Genomic DNA, 18510 nt, shown 5'->3' with positions numbered 1-18510 from the left:
AATATGGCTGCCAAAAGTGTTTGGGGCTAAGTGCTTCTTTATTCATGCCCAGTAAGAGGAAGGGAGAGGCTTTCAGTAACTCGCAGATTTACTTTTCCAGAAACCTCTAACCAACTTCTCTGGCTATGTTCTTGGTTAGAATATATCACATGCTATTTCTGAGTCAATCACTGGAAGGAGATTAAGAGTGAGGTGAGCTTCCTTGGAGGTGTATGGGTGTGTGGAAAAGGGATGTATACTAAACAAAATTGGGTTTGTGTTAGGAAGAAGAATGTGGAGTGGATGCTGTTAAGGCAACCACTTATGTTCACTACATAAACAAAGCCCTTTTGGTGATCTTACCTTGAAGCAGCAGTTACTTCTTGCCATTCACAGCTTCAACCCAAAATATTCAATTAATAATTATTGTGTATATAAATGAATGACCTTTGAACCAAGTAACTTGCACTTGCCAAAATGTACAAGATGATTTCTGGCCTCTGTGTCTGTGCTGATGGTCCCTGGAATCATCACCCCTCATAATGCACCCCCCTTCCCTCTCTTCTCTTTCTCTCTCTGTCACACACACACACACCACACACACCTCCCCACCTCTCGCAAAACTGGCTTCTACCTACTCTGTGAGTGCTGCAGACTTCTGTGATCGTTGTTTTTCTGTTGCTTCTTCTAGAAGTCTTTTAAGGGTAGGAATTATGTCTTATTCCTCTTTTTATTGGTATATACATAATACATTATTTTGAATACAAGAATGAAAGATTGATCTTGTTCTATACCTTTTCAGAATGTAGATCTCACTCTTGGTGTATATACCTTTAACTAAGTTTACTTATATAGAACTTCTCATCTTATATATGATATACTTGGGTCTTAAGATTATTTTACTTAAAATAATCACAGATGCTTCTTCTTCTTCTTCTTCTTCTTCTTCTTCTTCTTATTATTATTATTATCATTATTATTATTTGAGACAGGGGTTTTGCTCTGTCACCCAGGCTGGAGTGCAGTGGCACAATCTCAGCTCACTGCAACCTCCACCTCCCAGGCTCAGGTGATTCTCCCACCTCAGCCTGCTCCGTAGCTGGGACCACAGGCATGCGCCACCACACCTGGCTAATTTTTTACATTTTTGATAGAGACGAAGTTTCACCATGTTGGCCAGGCTGGTCTCGAACTCCTGAGCTCAAGCAATACACCTGCCTTGGCCTCCCAAAGTGCTGGGATTACAGGCATGAGCCACCGCGCCCGGCCCCAGATGCATTTTTTATTATTAAAATGAACACTTTGAGGCAATGCGTTCAATAACAATACAACAGTCTACATACACACGGTTGACTGAATTATTTTGGCTTTAGCTCACTACATCGTGCATCACATGTTTTGGTGAAGGGACATTTTCCATCATTATGGGGACTGATTCTGTGAAGCCAGTCCAGGAAAGGAAAATGATTTTGTAATGCCTGAATATTGCATTAAAACACAAGTTATGTGAAACAAAATGTTTATTTCATTATTTTGTCTCTGAGTGAGAAAATATAGAAACAAAGACTTTTAAAAACTAGGCTCAGAAAGGACAAACATGATATGCTAAGAATAGGATAGTGCTTACTATTAGGAATGTAGATCTCCATTCCTAATATATTTTGATGTGTTCCTCATTTTAATGTGTTTACAAAACTGTCAACCCAAAAATGCAACCATAGTAAGGAAGTGGAAAGGATAAAGTGACCAAGATATTTGTCATGTTATATTTATGCACAGTAATGGAAGTTTCTATGTAATGTACAAACACACAGCTGCTTCTCAGAGTTCCCATAGGAGAAACCTTTGAAATTCAGGGAGTGCCTAATGGTTCCTTTGATCTTCCTTAGTCTTTTTGCACTTCAGGGAGCTTTGAAGGAGGGCAGTTCTGCTTATCACTGGACCTATTGTTAAGCAAAGAAAAAGCCACTTCCTAGATCTATTGAGATAGGTGGTAAAGGTGAGGGACATTCCCTGACCAGCTGTCTGAACTACTGCTTATGGCCTATTTCAAGAGTTAATTCTATGGTCCAGCCCAAGTTAGCCTCTCCCCTCATTCACTTCAAGTAACTGCAATTGGTTAACTGCCTCTAGGCTATTCTTTAGTCTTAAAACATTTTTTGAAACTGCTGCCTACATATCAAGGAATTCATCTTATTATTTTTTTTTTATATAACTCTTGGTATTTTAACAAAAGTATTACATGCTCATACAGAGAAACACTGAAAAGTGTAAAAAAGAAAAGTATTTTACACAAGATGACCCTCAGAAATAATTACAATACACACTTTTATGTACTTCCAATCTTTTTATTATGTAAATAGATGTACATTTCTTTTTATATAGGAGAGATCAGCTTTTTCTGCACATGTAATTTGTGTACTTTTAAAAACCTTAATATTATACAAATGTTTTCTGGTGTCTGTAAAGATTTTTTATGAACATTTAATGAATATCCCCTATTGTTAGATGAAGAGGCCTTTTTTTTCAGGATTAAAAACAATCCATCAATGTATCACGATGTTTATTTTTTCCCACAGGGACTTGAAAAACTAATTTCAGAAATCCTTAAAGTCTATACACACATATGCAATTAGTAGCCCCCCCTTATCTGCAGGGGGTGTGTTCCAAAGTCCCCAGGGGATGCCTGAAACCATGGATAGTGTGCTATATATACTCTTTTTGCAATCTGACAACCTAGCTGGCTACTGAGTGACTAACAGACATGTAGCACAAACAGCACGGATATGCTGGACAAAGGGATGATTCACATCCTGAGTGGGACAGAGTGGGATGGTGTAAGATATCATCATGTGACTCAGAACAGTGTGCATCCTAAAATTTATGAACTGCTTATTTCTGGAATTTTGCATTTAATATTTTCACATTGTGATTGACTGAAACCATGGAAAGTGAAACCGTGGATAGAGGGGGACTACTATGTATCCATGAACAAGGAACAGGATTTAGGACTTCAGTGCTGAATGAAGTACTCACAGTATCCCCAAGACTACCACCATCCCACAATGTATATCATCTTTAGTTTGGTATGCACTTGCATCAATTAGAGTACCTCTTCAAAGAAAGAAAGTTTTTGAGAAGTTAAATATGGTCAGATTAACTCACTTAATCACCCACTTATTCATTCATTCAATGAACAATAGCTGCTCGCCTGCTAGGCAGTATAGGTACCATGAGGAACAGGACAGACTTGGCACTTGCCATCACAGATCCTAGTCACAATGAGGAGAAGGACAATTAAACCAGAGATTTAAGTAACATTCAGAAAGGGCTATGATAGAGAAAGTAGTGACTACAATGGATGCACATGGCAAGGGCAGCTAAGGTTTCCCAATGAAGGCAATATTTAATCTGAGACATGTAGGGTAAGCAGAAGTTAGCTAGACAAACAAGACAGGGGAGGTCATTCCAAGCTGGAATATCAGAAATGAAGCCTGGGAAGATCAGAATGCCTGTAAGATGAGAGAGCTGAAACCAGATCACAAAGGGCCTTGTCAGCCACCCCAAGGGGGTTAAATTTTATCCCAAGGTACCCTTGGAATCTGTTGAAGATTTGCTCTTTGAAAAGATCATTCTTGCTGCAGTCTGGAAAAGGGATTGCTGTTGGCAGTGGGGATGAGAGATAAGGGAAAGAAGGATTGTTGCAAAATTGCAGGCAGTAAGTAAAACCAATTCTTCAGCTGTAAGCTGAGGTCCTACAAGATGGCTTAAGTTCTGTAATCATCCTTCTTTTTGTTCAGCCTCGCATCACATTTAGCTTCTGACCCTTTTCAACCAACCTAGCATGCATTAAGTACTTAATAAATGGTTGCTTTGTTTGCTCTTTTACTTGTTTGGTGAAGGAATCCATCACCTAACTCTATTTTGCTCTTTGTCCAAAAAAAAAGTATTAAGAGGGAAAGTATCAGGAAGGAAAGGACCTTCCCCATTCTTTTAGCGGGGTAGGGGCACCCCACTTATCTACAGCCATTCAATTGGATGCTGTATCTGAGCTAATTGCTGAAGCTTCCTTGCCTTCCCTTTCCTTTCCCTTTTCTCCTTCCTTCCTTTCTTTCCTTCTTCCTCTTTCTCTTTCTTTCTTCTTTCTCCTTCCTTCCTTCCTTCCTTCCTTCCTTCCTTCCTTCCTTCCTTCCTTCCTTCCTTCCTTTCTTTCTTTCTCTCTCTCTCTCTTTCTTTCTTTCTTTATTTCGAAATGGTCTCACTGTGTCACCCAGTCACGCTGACTAGAGTGCAGTGGCACAATCATGACTCACTGCAGCCTCAATCTCCAAGGCTCAAGTGATCCTTCCACCTTAGCCTTTCAAGTAGCTAGGACCACAGGTGTGCACCACCATGCTGAGCTAATTTTGTAATTTTTTGTAGAAACAGGGTCTCACTACATTGCCCAGGCTGGTCTTGAACTCCTCATCCTCCTGACTCGGACTCCCAAAGTGCTGGGATTATAGGCGTGAGCCCTGGCTAGGCCCAGCCTGAAGCTTTGGTTTTCTTTAGAGAAGTTTTCTGAGCTTGTACAGCCCACAGAATTCCTGATCTGTATAAAGAGGAGCAGTACCTCAATTCTGCCAATATAAGAACATGGGAATTTCATCTATTATAATAGTAATACATGTTCAACATAAAAACATGGAAAATGTAGACAAGTGAAAAATGAAGAAAAACCCAACATAATACCACAACCAAAGGACAACCACTAGTAATATTTTGAAACATTACATTTTAGTCTTTGTGTGTAGTTTCAGGAGGATTACTTTTAGATTACTACGATACACACACACACATACACATATACCTACACATTTATATCCTGATTTTTCTAAACTTAACATCATAGCACTTTAAAAGTTTGTGTTATTTTAAATATTACCTTAAAATTCTATTCATTGCAAAAGATTTCACTGTATGATTGCATTCCAATCTAATCTAACACAGGACCATGCTTAGGTTATGGTGAAGGAATTCATCGCCTAGCTCTATTTTGTTCTTCCTCCAAATAATAAAGTGTCAGAAGGGAAAGCAGCACTATAATGTTTATTTAATGTTTGCACTATAAATAATGCTATGATGAGCAGTTTAGGCATAAAATTATTTGAATGCTTAGGATTATGCTCTTAAGATAACTCCTAGAAGTGCCGGGTGTGGTGGCTCATGCCTTGTAATCCCAGCACTTTGGGAGGCTGAGGCGGGCGGATCATGAGATCAAGAGATCAAGACCATCCTGGCCAACATGGTGAAACCACGTCTCTACTAAAAATTAAAAAATTCACTGGGCATGGTGGCGTGCACCTGTAGTCCCAGCTGCTTGGGAGGTTGAGGCAGGAGAATTGCTTGAACCTGGGAGGTGGAGGTTGCAATGAGTGGAGATCACACCACTGCATTCTAGCCTGGCAACAGAGCGAGACTTTGTCTCAATAATAATAATAATAATAATAATAATAATAATAATAAAAATTCCTAGAAGCAAACCTGGTTTTTTTTTTTTTGAGACAGGGTCTTGTCTCTTATCCAGGCTGGAGTACAGTGGTGTGATCTTGGCTCACTGCAGCCTCTGCGTCCAGGGTTCAAGCGATTCTCCTGACTCTGCCTCCTGAGTAGCTGGGATTACAGGCACGTGCTACCACACCCGGCTAATTTTTGTATTTTTAGTAGAGACGAGGTTTCGCCATGTTGGCCAGGCTGGTCTCGAACTGCTGGCTTCATGTGATCCACATGCCTTGGTCTCCCAAAGTGGCGGGATTACAGGCGTGAGCTACCATGCCCGGCCCCTAATTATTTTTTAAGGTTCTTAATATATACTGCTGATTTAATTTACAAAGAGAGTGTACCAAATTTACATTTCCACTAACAACATATGAGAATACTTGTTTTAGTTAGGCAATATTTAAAAGAAAAATGCTAATTTAATACACAAGGAAAAAATTTCAAAACAATAAAGAATGTTATTGTGTTTTTATATACCTATAGTAATTAAATAAGCAAAGGAAGAAATAGACCGCAAAGATATTAAGCTAGACCTATACTAATAGACTAATTGGCTGTATCATTAATGTAGGAAGTTAGTATCAGGGCTTTAGAATTCCTTGACATTATTCTAAATTTTTCTTTATGTATTTACTTCTGTTTGACTCTGCTTTTTCTTACCCTTAGGCCGTAGTATTTTATAAGTTAGTTCATATATTTAAAAAGGTACACTATATACCACAAACCATAACACTAATATTAACTTCTGATCTGTGTGGTTTGGAATAAAAGGCTTTGAAATTCATTTAGTAATGAGTTAATTTTAGATGGAAAAGTTAAAAGCTAATATTAAATCAATAAAAAATAATGACTTAACTAGAGAAAACACAAGAGGGCAATCTTGCACAGCAATAAAATATGTTTGCATAAGATAAAAAATTTCAACATTTTTAATCAACTGTGATATTTTCAACAAAAGAAATGTAAGGTCTTGTCAGTAAGTATTATCTTTTTATTAATAGTTATATTAATAGTTGCAAGAAAATTTAGTGTCAAGGAAATCTAGTGTTGACATTCACACAATGAATATTGCCATGTAGTTGAGTTGTGTGTGTGTGGTTTGTTTGTTTGTTTTTTAATCCTGGAAAGTGAATCTATTCTCCATTGAGAAATGGCATCCATTATATATATATATGGCCTGATTTTAATTTGTGGAAAAACAAGGAAATAGGTGACACAATTTTTTTTTCTCCAGGATTTACTATACATATTTTTCAAAATGGAAGTAGTTTCATTTTTTTTCTGATTAGGAATGCATAATCCATTAAATATCAATGAAAGAGAATTTTTTATTTTATTTTAGTTTATTTTGAGACAGAGTCTTGCTCTGTTGCCCAGGCTGGAGTGCAGTGGCATGATCTCAGCTCACTGCAACCTCCACCTCCCAGGTTCAAGTGATTCTCCTGTCTCAGCCTTCCAAGTAGCTGGGATTACAAGCACACATGCCACCACGCCTGGCTAATTTTTTTATTTTTAGTAGAGACGAGGTTTCACCATGTTGACCAGGCTGGTCTCGAACTCCTAACCTCAGGTGATCCACCTGCCTTGGCCTCCCAAAGTGCTGGGATTACAGGCTTGAGCCACCGTGCCCGGCCAAGAATATTTTTTTAAAAAATAAACAGTAACTTGCTAAAGGAAGAGCATGGTGTAATTATAATATTAGGGGGAATATTTATGATGTTTTACATGCTTTAATTTCCTGACACTTTAATAGAATTGTAATTTCAGTCAGCTCAGGATGTCCTAAAAATTACAGGCACAAAAAAATAGTAGGTTTAAGGCAACTGCAAGCATCTTTGTATGTGCAAAATCACATATATCTCGATATAACAGAGATAGTATCTGTGTAGTCTTTCTTACCATCTCTCATTGCTCTCTTGCAACTCAAACGAATTTGGAGTTTCTGTGCCAAACAGCATAGGAAATAAAAAGGGAAGGTAATAGAAATAGGCTTTTTTCTGAGCATGCTGGTGAAAGTGAGCCTTAAGAATTCTGTGATCAAGTACCTGGTACTTAGAAAAGCAATATGGAATAGTAGTTAACTGCATGGAGTTTGAATCCCTAATTTCTGCCACATACTAACTATATGACTTTGGAAAATTTCTTAACCTCTCTGTGCCTGATTTTCCTTATCTGTATAATGCAATTATAATGGTACCCATCTCATAAGGTTTGTTGTGAGACATATAAATGCTTAGAGCAGGCGTCTGGTACAAGGTAAACTTTTTGTAAATATTTGCTGTTATGCAAGACAGCCTAAGAAAATTTCTAAAGGAAATAAGAACCCAGATATCAGAATATGAAATATAGGTGTGGGAACCATGTGGGACATGCAAAAGAGCATTAGCTAGAGCTACAAGAAGAAAAGTTCAGATTATAGCCATCCTTTTCCAAGCTACACTTGGCCAGAGGTTTTCCACAGTCCCTCAAGAAAAGAAATTTAAGATTACCAACAGCAACTTATCGAATGCTGCGAGAATTTTGCTCATGTTAACTGTGTAGAAAACCATACCTGCTTCTTCCTCCACTATTAAAAAAAAAGTCATTCTAAAGTACTTTTGTTTAATTCTCATAAAACTCTTCATTAAAGAGCTCTGAAGGTCCAGTACTGTTATTGACAGCATCTGAACTGATGGGTCTTATTTGAACAGTGGAGTTAGGATATGGGTTTTCTGGGAGGCCAAATGAGAGAAGCAGCACCTTAATAGAGGGAGTTGCTTAGCAAAGCTTATTTCTGCTATATGGAATATGGCTGGCACTGGAAAATAGCTCAGTCAGGTCACTTTCATGTTCACAAAACAGTCTTTCTTTGAGGAAGAAAAGTCCTGAAACTGGAAATCCAGGACATATGAGTTCTATTCCTCCAGCTGCCATTGCTACTTTCTGAGAACAAGCAAAGTATTCTGTTTTTTGTTTGGATTCTCTGTTTTTTCTTTGGGTAAATTTCTCATCCCTATTATCATCGTTTCTAAGTTGGTTGAAAAATCTGAGTGAAAAGGTAAATTAGTCATTAAAAAAACTATTAACTATGTTGTACTTTTTTTTTCTTTTCTTTTCTTTTTTTGAGACGGCGTCTCACTCTGTTTCCCAGGCTGGAGTGCAGTGACACTATCTCGGCTCACTGCAACCTCTGCCTCCTGGGTTCAAGCATTCTCGTGCCTTAGCCTCCTGAGTAACTGGGATTACAGGTGTGTGCCTCTATGCCTGGCTAACTTTTTGTATTTTTAGTAGAGATTGGTTTTCACCATGTTGGCCAGGCTGGTGTCGAACTCCTGACCTCAGGTGATTCACCTGCCTCGGCCTCCCAAAATGCTGGGATTATCGGCGTGAGCCACTGAGCCCTGCCAACTATGTTGTACTTTTGTTTTGCATTATTCTATCTATATTTTAGTTTCCACTTTAGATAAAATGGTTAAAATCTTGAAATATCTTGCTAGGAAGGAATCATTATAGTAAATGAAGTGCTTGTGCACATTTCCACAGAGATCATTTTGGAATATCAATGAAAATTTCTTTCATATCTTTGTATCTTCCTATCTTGAGCAATCCTGAGTTCTGCTGGAGTTTGAGAGAAGCCCAACGTGCTGGAAAGTCTACCAGGAAAGGCTGCTTGATTGACTTTACTATAACACAATTTTATTTTGGTGGATTACCTAGAGTTGACAGCTTTAACTTTCCAGGTATTGGCACGTAATTTCAAGGTTGTGATCTGAATGTATTAGAGCAACCAAACTTACAAGAGACTCATGTTTATATGTAGCAGGCACTATGCAAAAGACAACCATTATCCCTATCCTCATTGAGCGAAACATTAAACAAATAATTGTACAGCTAATTATTACGTTAAACTCTGAACAAAAAAGTTCTGGGAGCTAGGAGGAAATGATGAGGCATGACCATCAAGCAGATTATTGGAAAGACTTGTTTAAAAAGTTTATAATTTGGCCTTTTTGTCTGTTTAGTTAAATATGCATTATCATGCTGTAATCATTTTCTGTGTCTGTCTCCAAAATGCATGTGTCTGTTCCAGTGACTTATAATTTACAGTCTGCATATCAAGGTTCTCTAACTTCAAATTGCATCTTCCACTTCAACTTTTTCTACACTTTTATACAAGCCACTTCCAAATCTCGACACATTCTTTCTTTAAATATACTAATAATACCTATTAAGTTATATATAAATTCAGTGTTCTTTCAGCCTAGGAGAGTTCTGTCTTTCACTAGGCGTTAACGTCATTAGTCAAAGCCTCTGAATTTGTGGGTTCCTTAGTGCCCTCCTACAAACACTCCTGGCAAAAACACAATAAACCACTAGGAAGTTAATGTATGCGCTCATCAAAGTCCTGTAACTTGAGAATGAAGTAGCAGGAAACAGCTACCCAGCAGTGTTATAAACATTTATAGGCCATAATCCCAGTGCTTTGGGAGGCCAAGGCAGGAGGATCTCTTGAGCTTTGGAGTTCAAGACACCCTGGGAAACATAGGGGGTCTTTACAAAAAATTTAAAAATTAGTTGGGTGTGATGGTGCACACTTGTGGTCTCAGCTACATGGGAGGCTGAGGCCAAAGGATTGACCTTGAACCTGGAAGTTCCAGGTTGCAGTAAGCTACGATCCCACCACTGCATTCTAGCCTGGGTGACAGAGTGAAACCCTGTCTCTCGAAATAAATAAATAGATATATAAATAAAAATAAAAATGTATAGCAGCATTAGTTATAATAGCCAAAAGGTAGAAACAACCCAGATGTCCATCAGCAGACAAATGGATAAACAAAATGTGGTATATATGTACAACGGAATATTATTCCGAGTTAAAAGGAATGAAGTACTTAAAAATGCTACATGAACCAACCTTGCAGACGTCATGCTAAGTGAAATCAGCCAGACACAGGAGGACAAATATTGTATGATTTCACTGACATGAGGTACTTAGAATAATCAAATTCATAGAGACAGAAGGTAGAATAGTGATTACCAGGGGCTGAGGGGAGAAGGGAATGGAAAGTTATTATTTACGGGTACAGAGTTTCTCTTTGGAATAATGGGAAAGATTGGGAAATGAATAATTGTAATGGTTGCACAACGTTGTATAGGTACTTAATGCCACTGAATCCTACACTTAAAAATGGTGAAAATGGTACATTTTATGTTATGTGTATCTTATGAAAATAAAAAATACACACACACACAGACTCAGTGAAAAGTTGGGGAAAAATACTATAAGCCATCTAGATGCCTTACGCCTTGTGGATTATAAATGTGTATCAGTATTGTTTCTGTTATAAAGCTAAAACCTTTAAAAAAATTCCTTTCTTAACTTTTTATTTCCACACTCAATCTTTTTACCTCTTCCAGCTACCTTATAGTTGTTTTACTGTCATCCACAATATTTTCTGCATGTAAGGAATACAGTATTATCATTATTATCATTGTTATTAATTTTTTATTGCTGTTGTTGTTCTGGTATCCCATTTATATTGAGGGTTTGATGTATCCAGTATTAGCCTGTAAAAACATGAATAAAAGGAGAGTATGGGAGGATAGTGCTGCTCACCGTACAATAACTTTATATGATTCTATTGAGCTTTTGTCCTCAGTATATCAGGACACTATCAGATGCAACTGCAGCTTTTCATCTAGTTTTGTGCCCCTTAGAGATGACATGGACTCAGATGAACCTCAAGAAGTTGCCTGGAATAGGATGAGCTCCACAAACTATCTGCATGATTAAAGATGGCCTGTCCAGTACAACAAAACCCTTTTAACAAGTTGTTAGAAACATATGTCAAACCTTTTTCTATTTCTAACACCTATTTGGCACTGTAGAAATAGTTAAATCACCACAAAACATGCTTACTATGCTACATGCTGGGAGTGGGGGAGGCCTGTTTTGATTTATAAGAAAAAAACCAATTCATGAGTTTCAGCATTAGCTAAATCTCTTAAAGAGTTTGCTTTATGATTTTAAAAGATCTTAAGAAAATACACTATTCTTGAAATAATGAAAATTACTTATAATACTTTTATTATTTAAAACTATGAAAAAAGGGGTGGGTGCGGAGCTCACGCCTGTAATCCCAGCACTTTGGGAGGCCAAGGTGGGAGGATCACTTGAGGACAGGAGTTTGAGACCAGTCTGGGCAACATAGTGAGACCTCGTCTTGACAAAAATAAATTTAAAAAATTATCCAGGCATGGTTGCATGAGTCTTTAGTCCCAGCTACTTGGGAGACTGAAGTGGGAGGATCACTTGAGCCTGGAGATCAAGGCTGCAGTGAGCCTCAATTGCACCACTGCACTCCAGCCTGGATGACAGAGTGGGACCCTGTGTGCCCCCAACAAAAAACCCCAACCCTCCCCCCCCAACTATAAAATAATATATTTTCATGTAAAAATCAAACAAGAAAAGCGAATAAATATGAAGGTTTTCCATTCTGGCCCATTGCAGACAATACCTCTCCTCTGAAATAACCAGTGTTACCAGGTCCACATTTTATCTAGCTAGGTCATAAATAAAATAAATAATAAGTAAATAACATAATAACAAATGAATAATACATGTTGTGAGTATAATAAGAACAAAAAAATTTTAAAACTTGCTATTTTACACCAATTTACTTGGTCTTTTTTTTTTTTTTTAGACGGAGTTTCGCTCTTATTGCCCAGGCTGGAGTGCAGTGGCGTGATCTCAGCTCACTGCAACCTCTGCCTCCGGGGTTCAAGTGATTCTCCTGCCTCAGCCTTCTGAGTAGCTGGGATTACACGTGTCCACCACCACACCCAGCTAATTTTTTGTATTTTTAGTAGAGATGGGGTTTCACCACGTTGGCCAGGCTGGTCTCAAACTCCTGACCTCAGGTGATCCACCCGCCTCGGCCTCCCAGAGTGCTAGGATTACAGGCGTGAGCCACCACACTTGGCTAATTTACTTGTTAAATTATGAAGGGAAGATAGATTATTACTTAGATGATCAGATTTGATTTATAAATATTACCTCTTGTTTCTTTAGCCACGGGATAAGTACGAAACATAGAAATAGCCCAGAGTAGAAAAAATGATCTTGTTTATGTCTGTCTTCCCCATTTCACTGTGAGATCCTTCAGGCTAGGAACTGTGGCTAATCTTTGTAGCCTCAGAACCTAAAACAGAGGCTGGCACAAAATAAGCTTGGCACAAAATAAGTGCTGAATAAATGCTTGTTATGTAGTGTTGACTCTACTGGGCAGTATTTATTATCTTGAATTGGTAGCAGTGGTAGAATTCAGTTCCAAGATGTGCATTCCAGGCTACAATTCATTGCTAGTGCAGTATGTCAAGCTGGATTGTCTGAAAGACACCAGTAGATACAGCGTAGTGAAAGCTACAGGCACCTACCTGCCTTAAGAATCTGGGAATCTGAAGATTTAAATTGTGCACAGATAGTTTTCTTCTCCCAGAATCCCCAAACCCAGGGGTAGAGGTGGTATTCCTCTATGTCAGATTTCCAAACTACACACCATGAGACTCACATGAGCTCAGAATCCTAGATGGTTTTCACAAACAAGTGTCTGGAAAGGGTCATTTAGATCTGGCCACAGGCCAGCCGCAGTGGCTCATGTCTGTAATCCCAGCAATTTGGGAGGCTGAGGTGGGAAGATCACTTGAGGCCAGGAGTTCAAGACTAGCCTGGGCAATATGGTGAACCCTCGTCTCTACTAAAAATACAAAAATTAGCCGGGCATGGTGGCACATGCCTGTAATTCCAGCCACGTAGGAGGCTGAGGCATGAGAATCGCTTGAACCTGGGATGGGGAGGTTACAGTGAGCTGAGATCATGCCAGTGAACTTCCAGCCTGGGAGACAGAGTGGGACCTTGTCTCAAAAAAAATTAAAATTCAAAATATTAAGTAGAAAAGTTCTTGTGTTCCTTGGAAGTGTGCTACAGTAGAGGCAGAATGGCCACATTGTATAAATGTGGAGAAGCACAAAGAATATATAGAAATTTAGCTATACTTAATTATTATTTCATACTTTTGCCTTTTAAAAACTCATTTTCATTCCAATTTCAGTGTTTAACATTAATATTTTGAGGTATATTCCATAAAATAATATTTTAAAACGTATACAAATCCAGTATTTTAGCTTTTTAAAAGTTACTTCAAAGCACATTTGCAGGGGGGATGTTTACTCTCCTCATTACAGAAAAGGCTCTGGAAAGTCACCATTTGCTCAACCAGCTAGACTGGGGCCAGGGTTTAGAGATCTGTGTCCAAGTTATTCCTAAAATATCAGAGGGCCATTGTGGGCCTGAAGTTTATATTGTTAATTGTATGACCGTGGTCCAGAAATATTTGACTCTTCATTGTTAGTTTAGGTTAGTCAAAATTAATTAGTTTCAACTTGCTTGACGACATTAATCTTTTGGTTGTGGTTTTCTGTAGGATTGTGTTGAGGAGGATTTTGAGGCTATGTCTGAGCTTTACAAGCAAACGTTGTGATGACTTAGCAATATCAAGGGCATTCAAGGGAGGAGTGGTGATATGTAGGGCCATTTTTTGGTTATCCTCTTCTAAAGTAATTTTAAGATTTCTTCTAGCTCTAAAAGTCTAATTCTGTTTATAAACATGGCAATCTGTTAATGATGTATTATCAGGAAAAATTTTCAAGTACATAGTCATTTTTGTGTGCACATATTTTAGCATGGAAAAGGTTCTGGAAAGACATTCTTTGAATTGTGATGTGATTATCTCTAGGTGTTAGGAAATTAAGGATTTTTTTATTTTTGTCTTTGTTTTCTAATTTTTCTTCAGTGATCATATATTGCTTTTGTAATAAAATTGTAAAACATTTCAAAACTGTCTAATACTAAAACAGGTGCTTAAATCCATTTGCAAATTACAAATGTTACCAGGTATAAAATAAAGTTAATTACATCATGTTACATGAATTATTTATTATAGCTAGCAAAACCAGTCTCATAGATATCACTAAGTAGTATTTCATGCACATATATATTTTTTTCATTCTGGGATACATGTGCAGAACATGCAGGTTTATTACATAGCTATACATGTGTCATGGTGGTTTGCTGCACCCATCAACCTGTCATCTACATTAGGTATTTCTCCTAATGCTATCCCTCCCCTAGCCCACCAGCCCCCGACAGGCCCTGGTGTGTGATGTTCCCCTCTCTGTGCCCATATTTTCTCATTGTTCAACTCCTACTTATGAGTGAGAACACGTGGTTTTCTGTTTTGTGTTAGTTTGCTGAGAATGATGGTTTCTAGCTTCATCCATGTCTCTGCAAAGGACATGAACTCATCTTTTTTATGGCTGCATAGTATTCCACAATGTATATGTGCCACATTTTCTTTATCCAGTCTATCATCGATAGGCGTGTGGGTTGGTTCCTAGTCCTTGCTATTGTGAATAGTGCTCCAATAAACATATGTGTGCATACGTCTTTATAGTAGAATGATTTATCCTCCTTTGTGTATATCCCCAGTAATGGGATCCCCAGGTCAAATGGTATGTCTAGTTCTAGATCCTTGAGGAATTGCCACACTGTCTTCCACAATGGTTGAACTAATTTACACTCCCACCAACAGTGTAAAAGCATTCTTATTTCTCCACATCCTCTCCAGCATCTGTTGTTTCCTGACTTTTTAATGATCACCATTCTAACTGGCATGAAATGATATCTCACTGTGGTTTTGATTTGCATTTCTCTAATGACCAGTGATGAGGCGCTTTTTTTCATATGTTTGTGGGCCACATAAATGTCTTCTTTTGGAAAGTGTCTGTTCATATCTTTTGCCCACTTTTTGATAGGGTTGTTTTTTTCTTATAAATTTGTTTAAATTCTTTGTAGATCCTGGATATTAGCCCTTTGTCAGATGGATAGATTGCAAAAATTTTCTCCCATTCTGTAGGTTGCCTGTTCACTCTGATGATAGTTTCTTTTGCTGTGCAGTAGGTCTTTAGTTTAATCAGATCCCATTTGTCAATTTTGGCTTTTATTGCAATTGCTTTTGGTGTTTCATTGCCAATGCCTATGTCCAGAATGGTATTGCCTGGGTTTTCTTCATGGGTTTTTATGGTTTTGGTCTTATGTATAAATCTTTAATCCATCTTGAGTTAATTTTTGTATGCATGTAAGGAAAAGGTCCAGTTTCAGTTTTCTGCATATGGCTAGCCAGTTTTCCCAACACCATTGATTAAATAGGGAATCCTTTCCCCATTGCTTGTTTTTGTCAGGTTTGTCAAAGATCAGATGTCTGTAGATGTGTGGTGTTATTTCTGAGGCCTCTGTTCTGTTCCATTGGTCTATATATCTGTTTTGGTACCAGTATCGTGCTGTTTTGGTTACTGTAGCCTTGTAGTATAGTTTAAAGTCAGGTAGCGTGGTGCCTTCAGCTTTGTTCTTTTTGCTTAGGATTGTCTTGGCTGTATGGGCTCTTTTTGGTTCCATATGAAATTTGAAGAAGTTTTTTCTAATTCTGTGATGAAAGTCAATTAATGGGAATAGCATTGAATCTATAAGTTACTTTGGGCTGTATGGCCATTTTCACGATATTGATTCTTCCTATCCATGAGCATGGAATATTTTTCCGTTTGTTTGTGTCCTCTCTTATTTCCTTGAGCAGTGGTTTGTAGTTCTCCTTGAAGAGGTCCTTCACATCTCTTGTAAGTTGTATTCCTGAGTATTTTATTCTCTTTGTGGCAATTGTGAATGGGAGTTCACTCATGATTTAGCTGTTTGTCTATTACTGATGTATAGGAATGCTTGTGTTTTTTGCACATTGATTTTTTTATCCTCAGACTTTGCTGAAGTTGCTTATCAGTTTAAGGAATCTTTGGGCTGAGACAAGGGGGTTTTCTAAATATACAATCATGTCATCTGCAAACAGAGAGAATTTGACTTCCTCTCTTCCTATTTGAATACTTATTGCTTTCTCTTCGCTGATTGCCCTGGCCAGAACATCCAGTACTATGTTGAATAGGATTGGTGAGAGAGGGCATCCTTGTCTTGTGCTGCTTTTCAAAGGGACTACTTCCAGCTTTTGCCTATTCAGTATGATATTGGCTGTGGTTTTGTCATAAATAGCTCTTATAATTTTGAGATACATTCCATCAATACCTAGCTTATTGAGTGTTTTTAGCATGAAGGGGTGTTGAATTTTATCGAAAGCCTTTTCTGCATCTATTGAGATAATCATGTGGTTTTTGTCATTGGTTCTGTTTATGTGATGGATTACATTTATTGATTTGTGTATTTTGAACCAGCCTTGCATCCCAGGGATGAAGCCCACTTGATCATAGTAAATAAGCTTTTTAATGTGCCACTGGATTTGGTTTGCCAGTATTTTATTGAGGATTTTCTCATCAATGTTCATCAGGGATTTTGACCTGAAATTTTCTTTTTTTGTTGTGTCTCTGCCAGGTTTTGGTATCAGGATGATGCTTGCCTCATAAAATGAGTTAGGGAGGAATCCCTCTTTTTCTATTGTTTGGAATAGTTTCAGAAGGAATGGTACCAGCTCCTATTCACTTTTGTAGTTCCAAAATGTGTTAGAGGAATTTCAGAATGCACAAATTAGCTAGCAGGCAAATTTCTGGCTGTAATTTTGATGAAATAATCCAAGAGAGGAATGACCAGATAACTTTTGATACATATTTTATAATTTTGGTTTTGATCTAGGTGTTCTGGAATTAGAACTTGTGCTCCCCATTGTTGCAATAAATCTCTTCCCCATGAATTTATAGGTACAGAAGTTATAATTGGTAGAATAGTCCCAGGTTGTCCATCGGGCCCTTCACAACGCAAAATATAACTACTTTGATATACTTCAGGGGTTTTACCAACTCCAACTGTGTTAAATTGAGCGGGTTGAATTGGCCACACAGACAGTCAGTGCTGTAGAGAAATGATTGAAATTTCCACTCCTGTATCTACCAAACCTTTAAATTTCTTTCGCTGAATAGTTATTTCACAGGTAGGACATTTATCCATAATTTGATTCACCCAATAAGCTGTTTTACCTTGTTTATTTGTGCTTCCAAATCCTCCTGTTCATTTAATTTCACTTTTCCCCATTCTCACATATGGCACAATCAGGAGCCGTGCTATACACTCTCCTGCTCTGCTTTCCAGGAAACAGACATAGATATAACAATTTGAATTTCCCCATTGTAATCTGAATCAATGACTCCTATATGTTTTTGTCCCCTTTTAAAATTTAAACTAGACCTTCCTAGAAGCAATCCTATCATCCCTGCTGGCAAGGGTCCACAGACTCCTGTTGGGACCTTTTGCGGGGGGTTCCCCAGGCAGAAGGCTCACAGCTTTTGTGCAGCATAAATCTACTGCAGCACTACTGGTTGTGGCGGGGGACAGACATTGTACAGGGGTGAGGGAATGGCCTGAGCCGGAAATGCCCAGTTTGGAATGGGGCCTGGGACGGGCCCCTCATGGTGTTTCCCAAAATCGGGTTCCCATCTTTATGAAACTTAGAGTGACACTGATTAGCCCAATGTTCTCCTTTTTTACATTTTGGACATATTTCAGGCTCAGAAGTTTTCTTTTTTCCCCTATCTGGTGGCCTGACTCGCTGATATTTTTCTACATTCTTTTTTTAACATGACCATGCTTGTTTAAATTCTTTGAGTAACTTAAAAGGAAAAGGCTCAAGTGTAGCTATAATATTTCCCTGTTGATCTGGGGGGTGTATCCTAACAGGGAACTGCCGAGCCTCTAAATCACCCTCTCTTCTAGCTTGCTGAATTCCTGCCTGAATAGAACTGAGAGTGGTCGCTCGAGGCGCTGCTCAAATAGTCACTGGGGCAACTACTTTTCGCCCAGTGTCCTCTGGAAAAGAAGATCTGGGGGGTCAGGCCACTCTTTTTCTTCAAAATAATCATGAGCGGGTACAGAAGGGTAGCGATGAACCTCTCCCTCCTTTGCAGCTTTAG

General features: G+C 38.3%; 1 annotated feature.

Annotated features, from left to right (window-relative positions):
- Positions 1443-2277: an enhancer, noted in NCBI's record as "OCT4-NANOG-H3K4me1 hESC enhancer chr14:57849692-57850526 (GRCh37/hg19 assembly coordinates)". NCBI's record gives its function as "activates a minimal SCP1, AML or CMV promoter by ChIP-STARR-seq in naive H9 embryonic stem cells {active_cell/tissue: H9 hESC(naive)}" and the evidence as "EXISTENCE:reporter gene assay evidence [ECO:0000049][PMID:30033119]".

Source organism: Homo sapiens, chromosome 14, assembly GCF_000001405.40.
Source record: "Homo sapiens chromosome 14, GRCh38.p14 Primary Assembly".
In the NCBI taxonomy this organism is placed as follows: Eukaryota; Metazoa; Chordata; class Mammalia; order Primates; family Hominidae; genus Homo; species Homo sapiens.
This window is presented reverse-complemented; position numbering and strand designations above follow the sequence as displayed.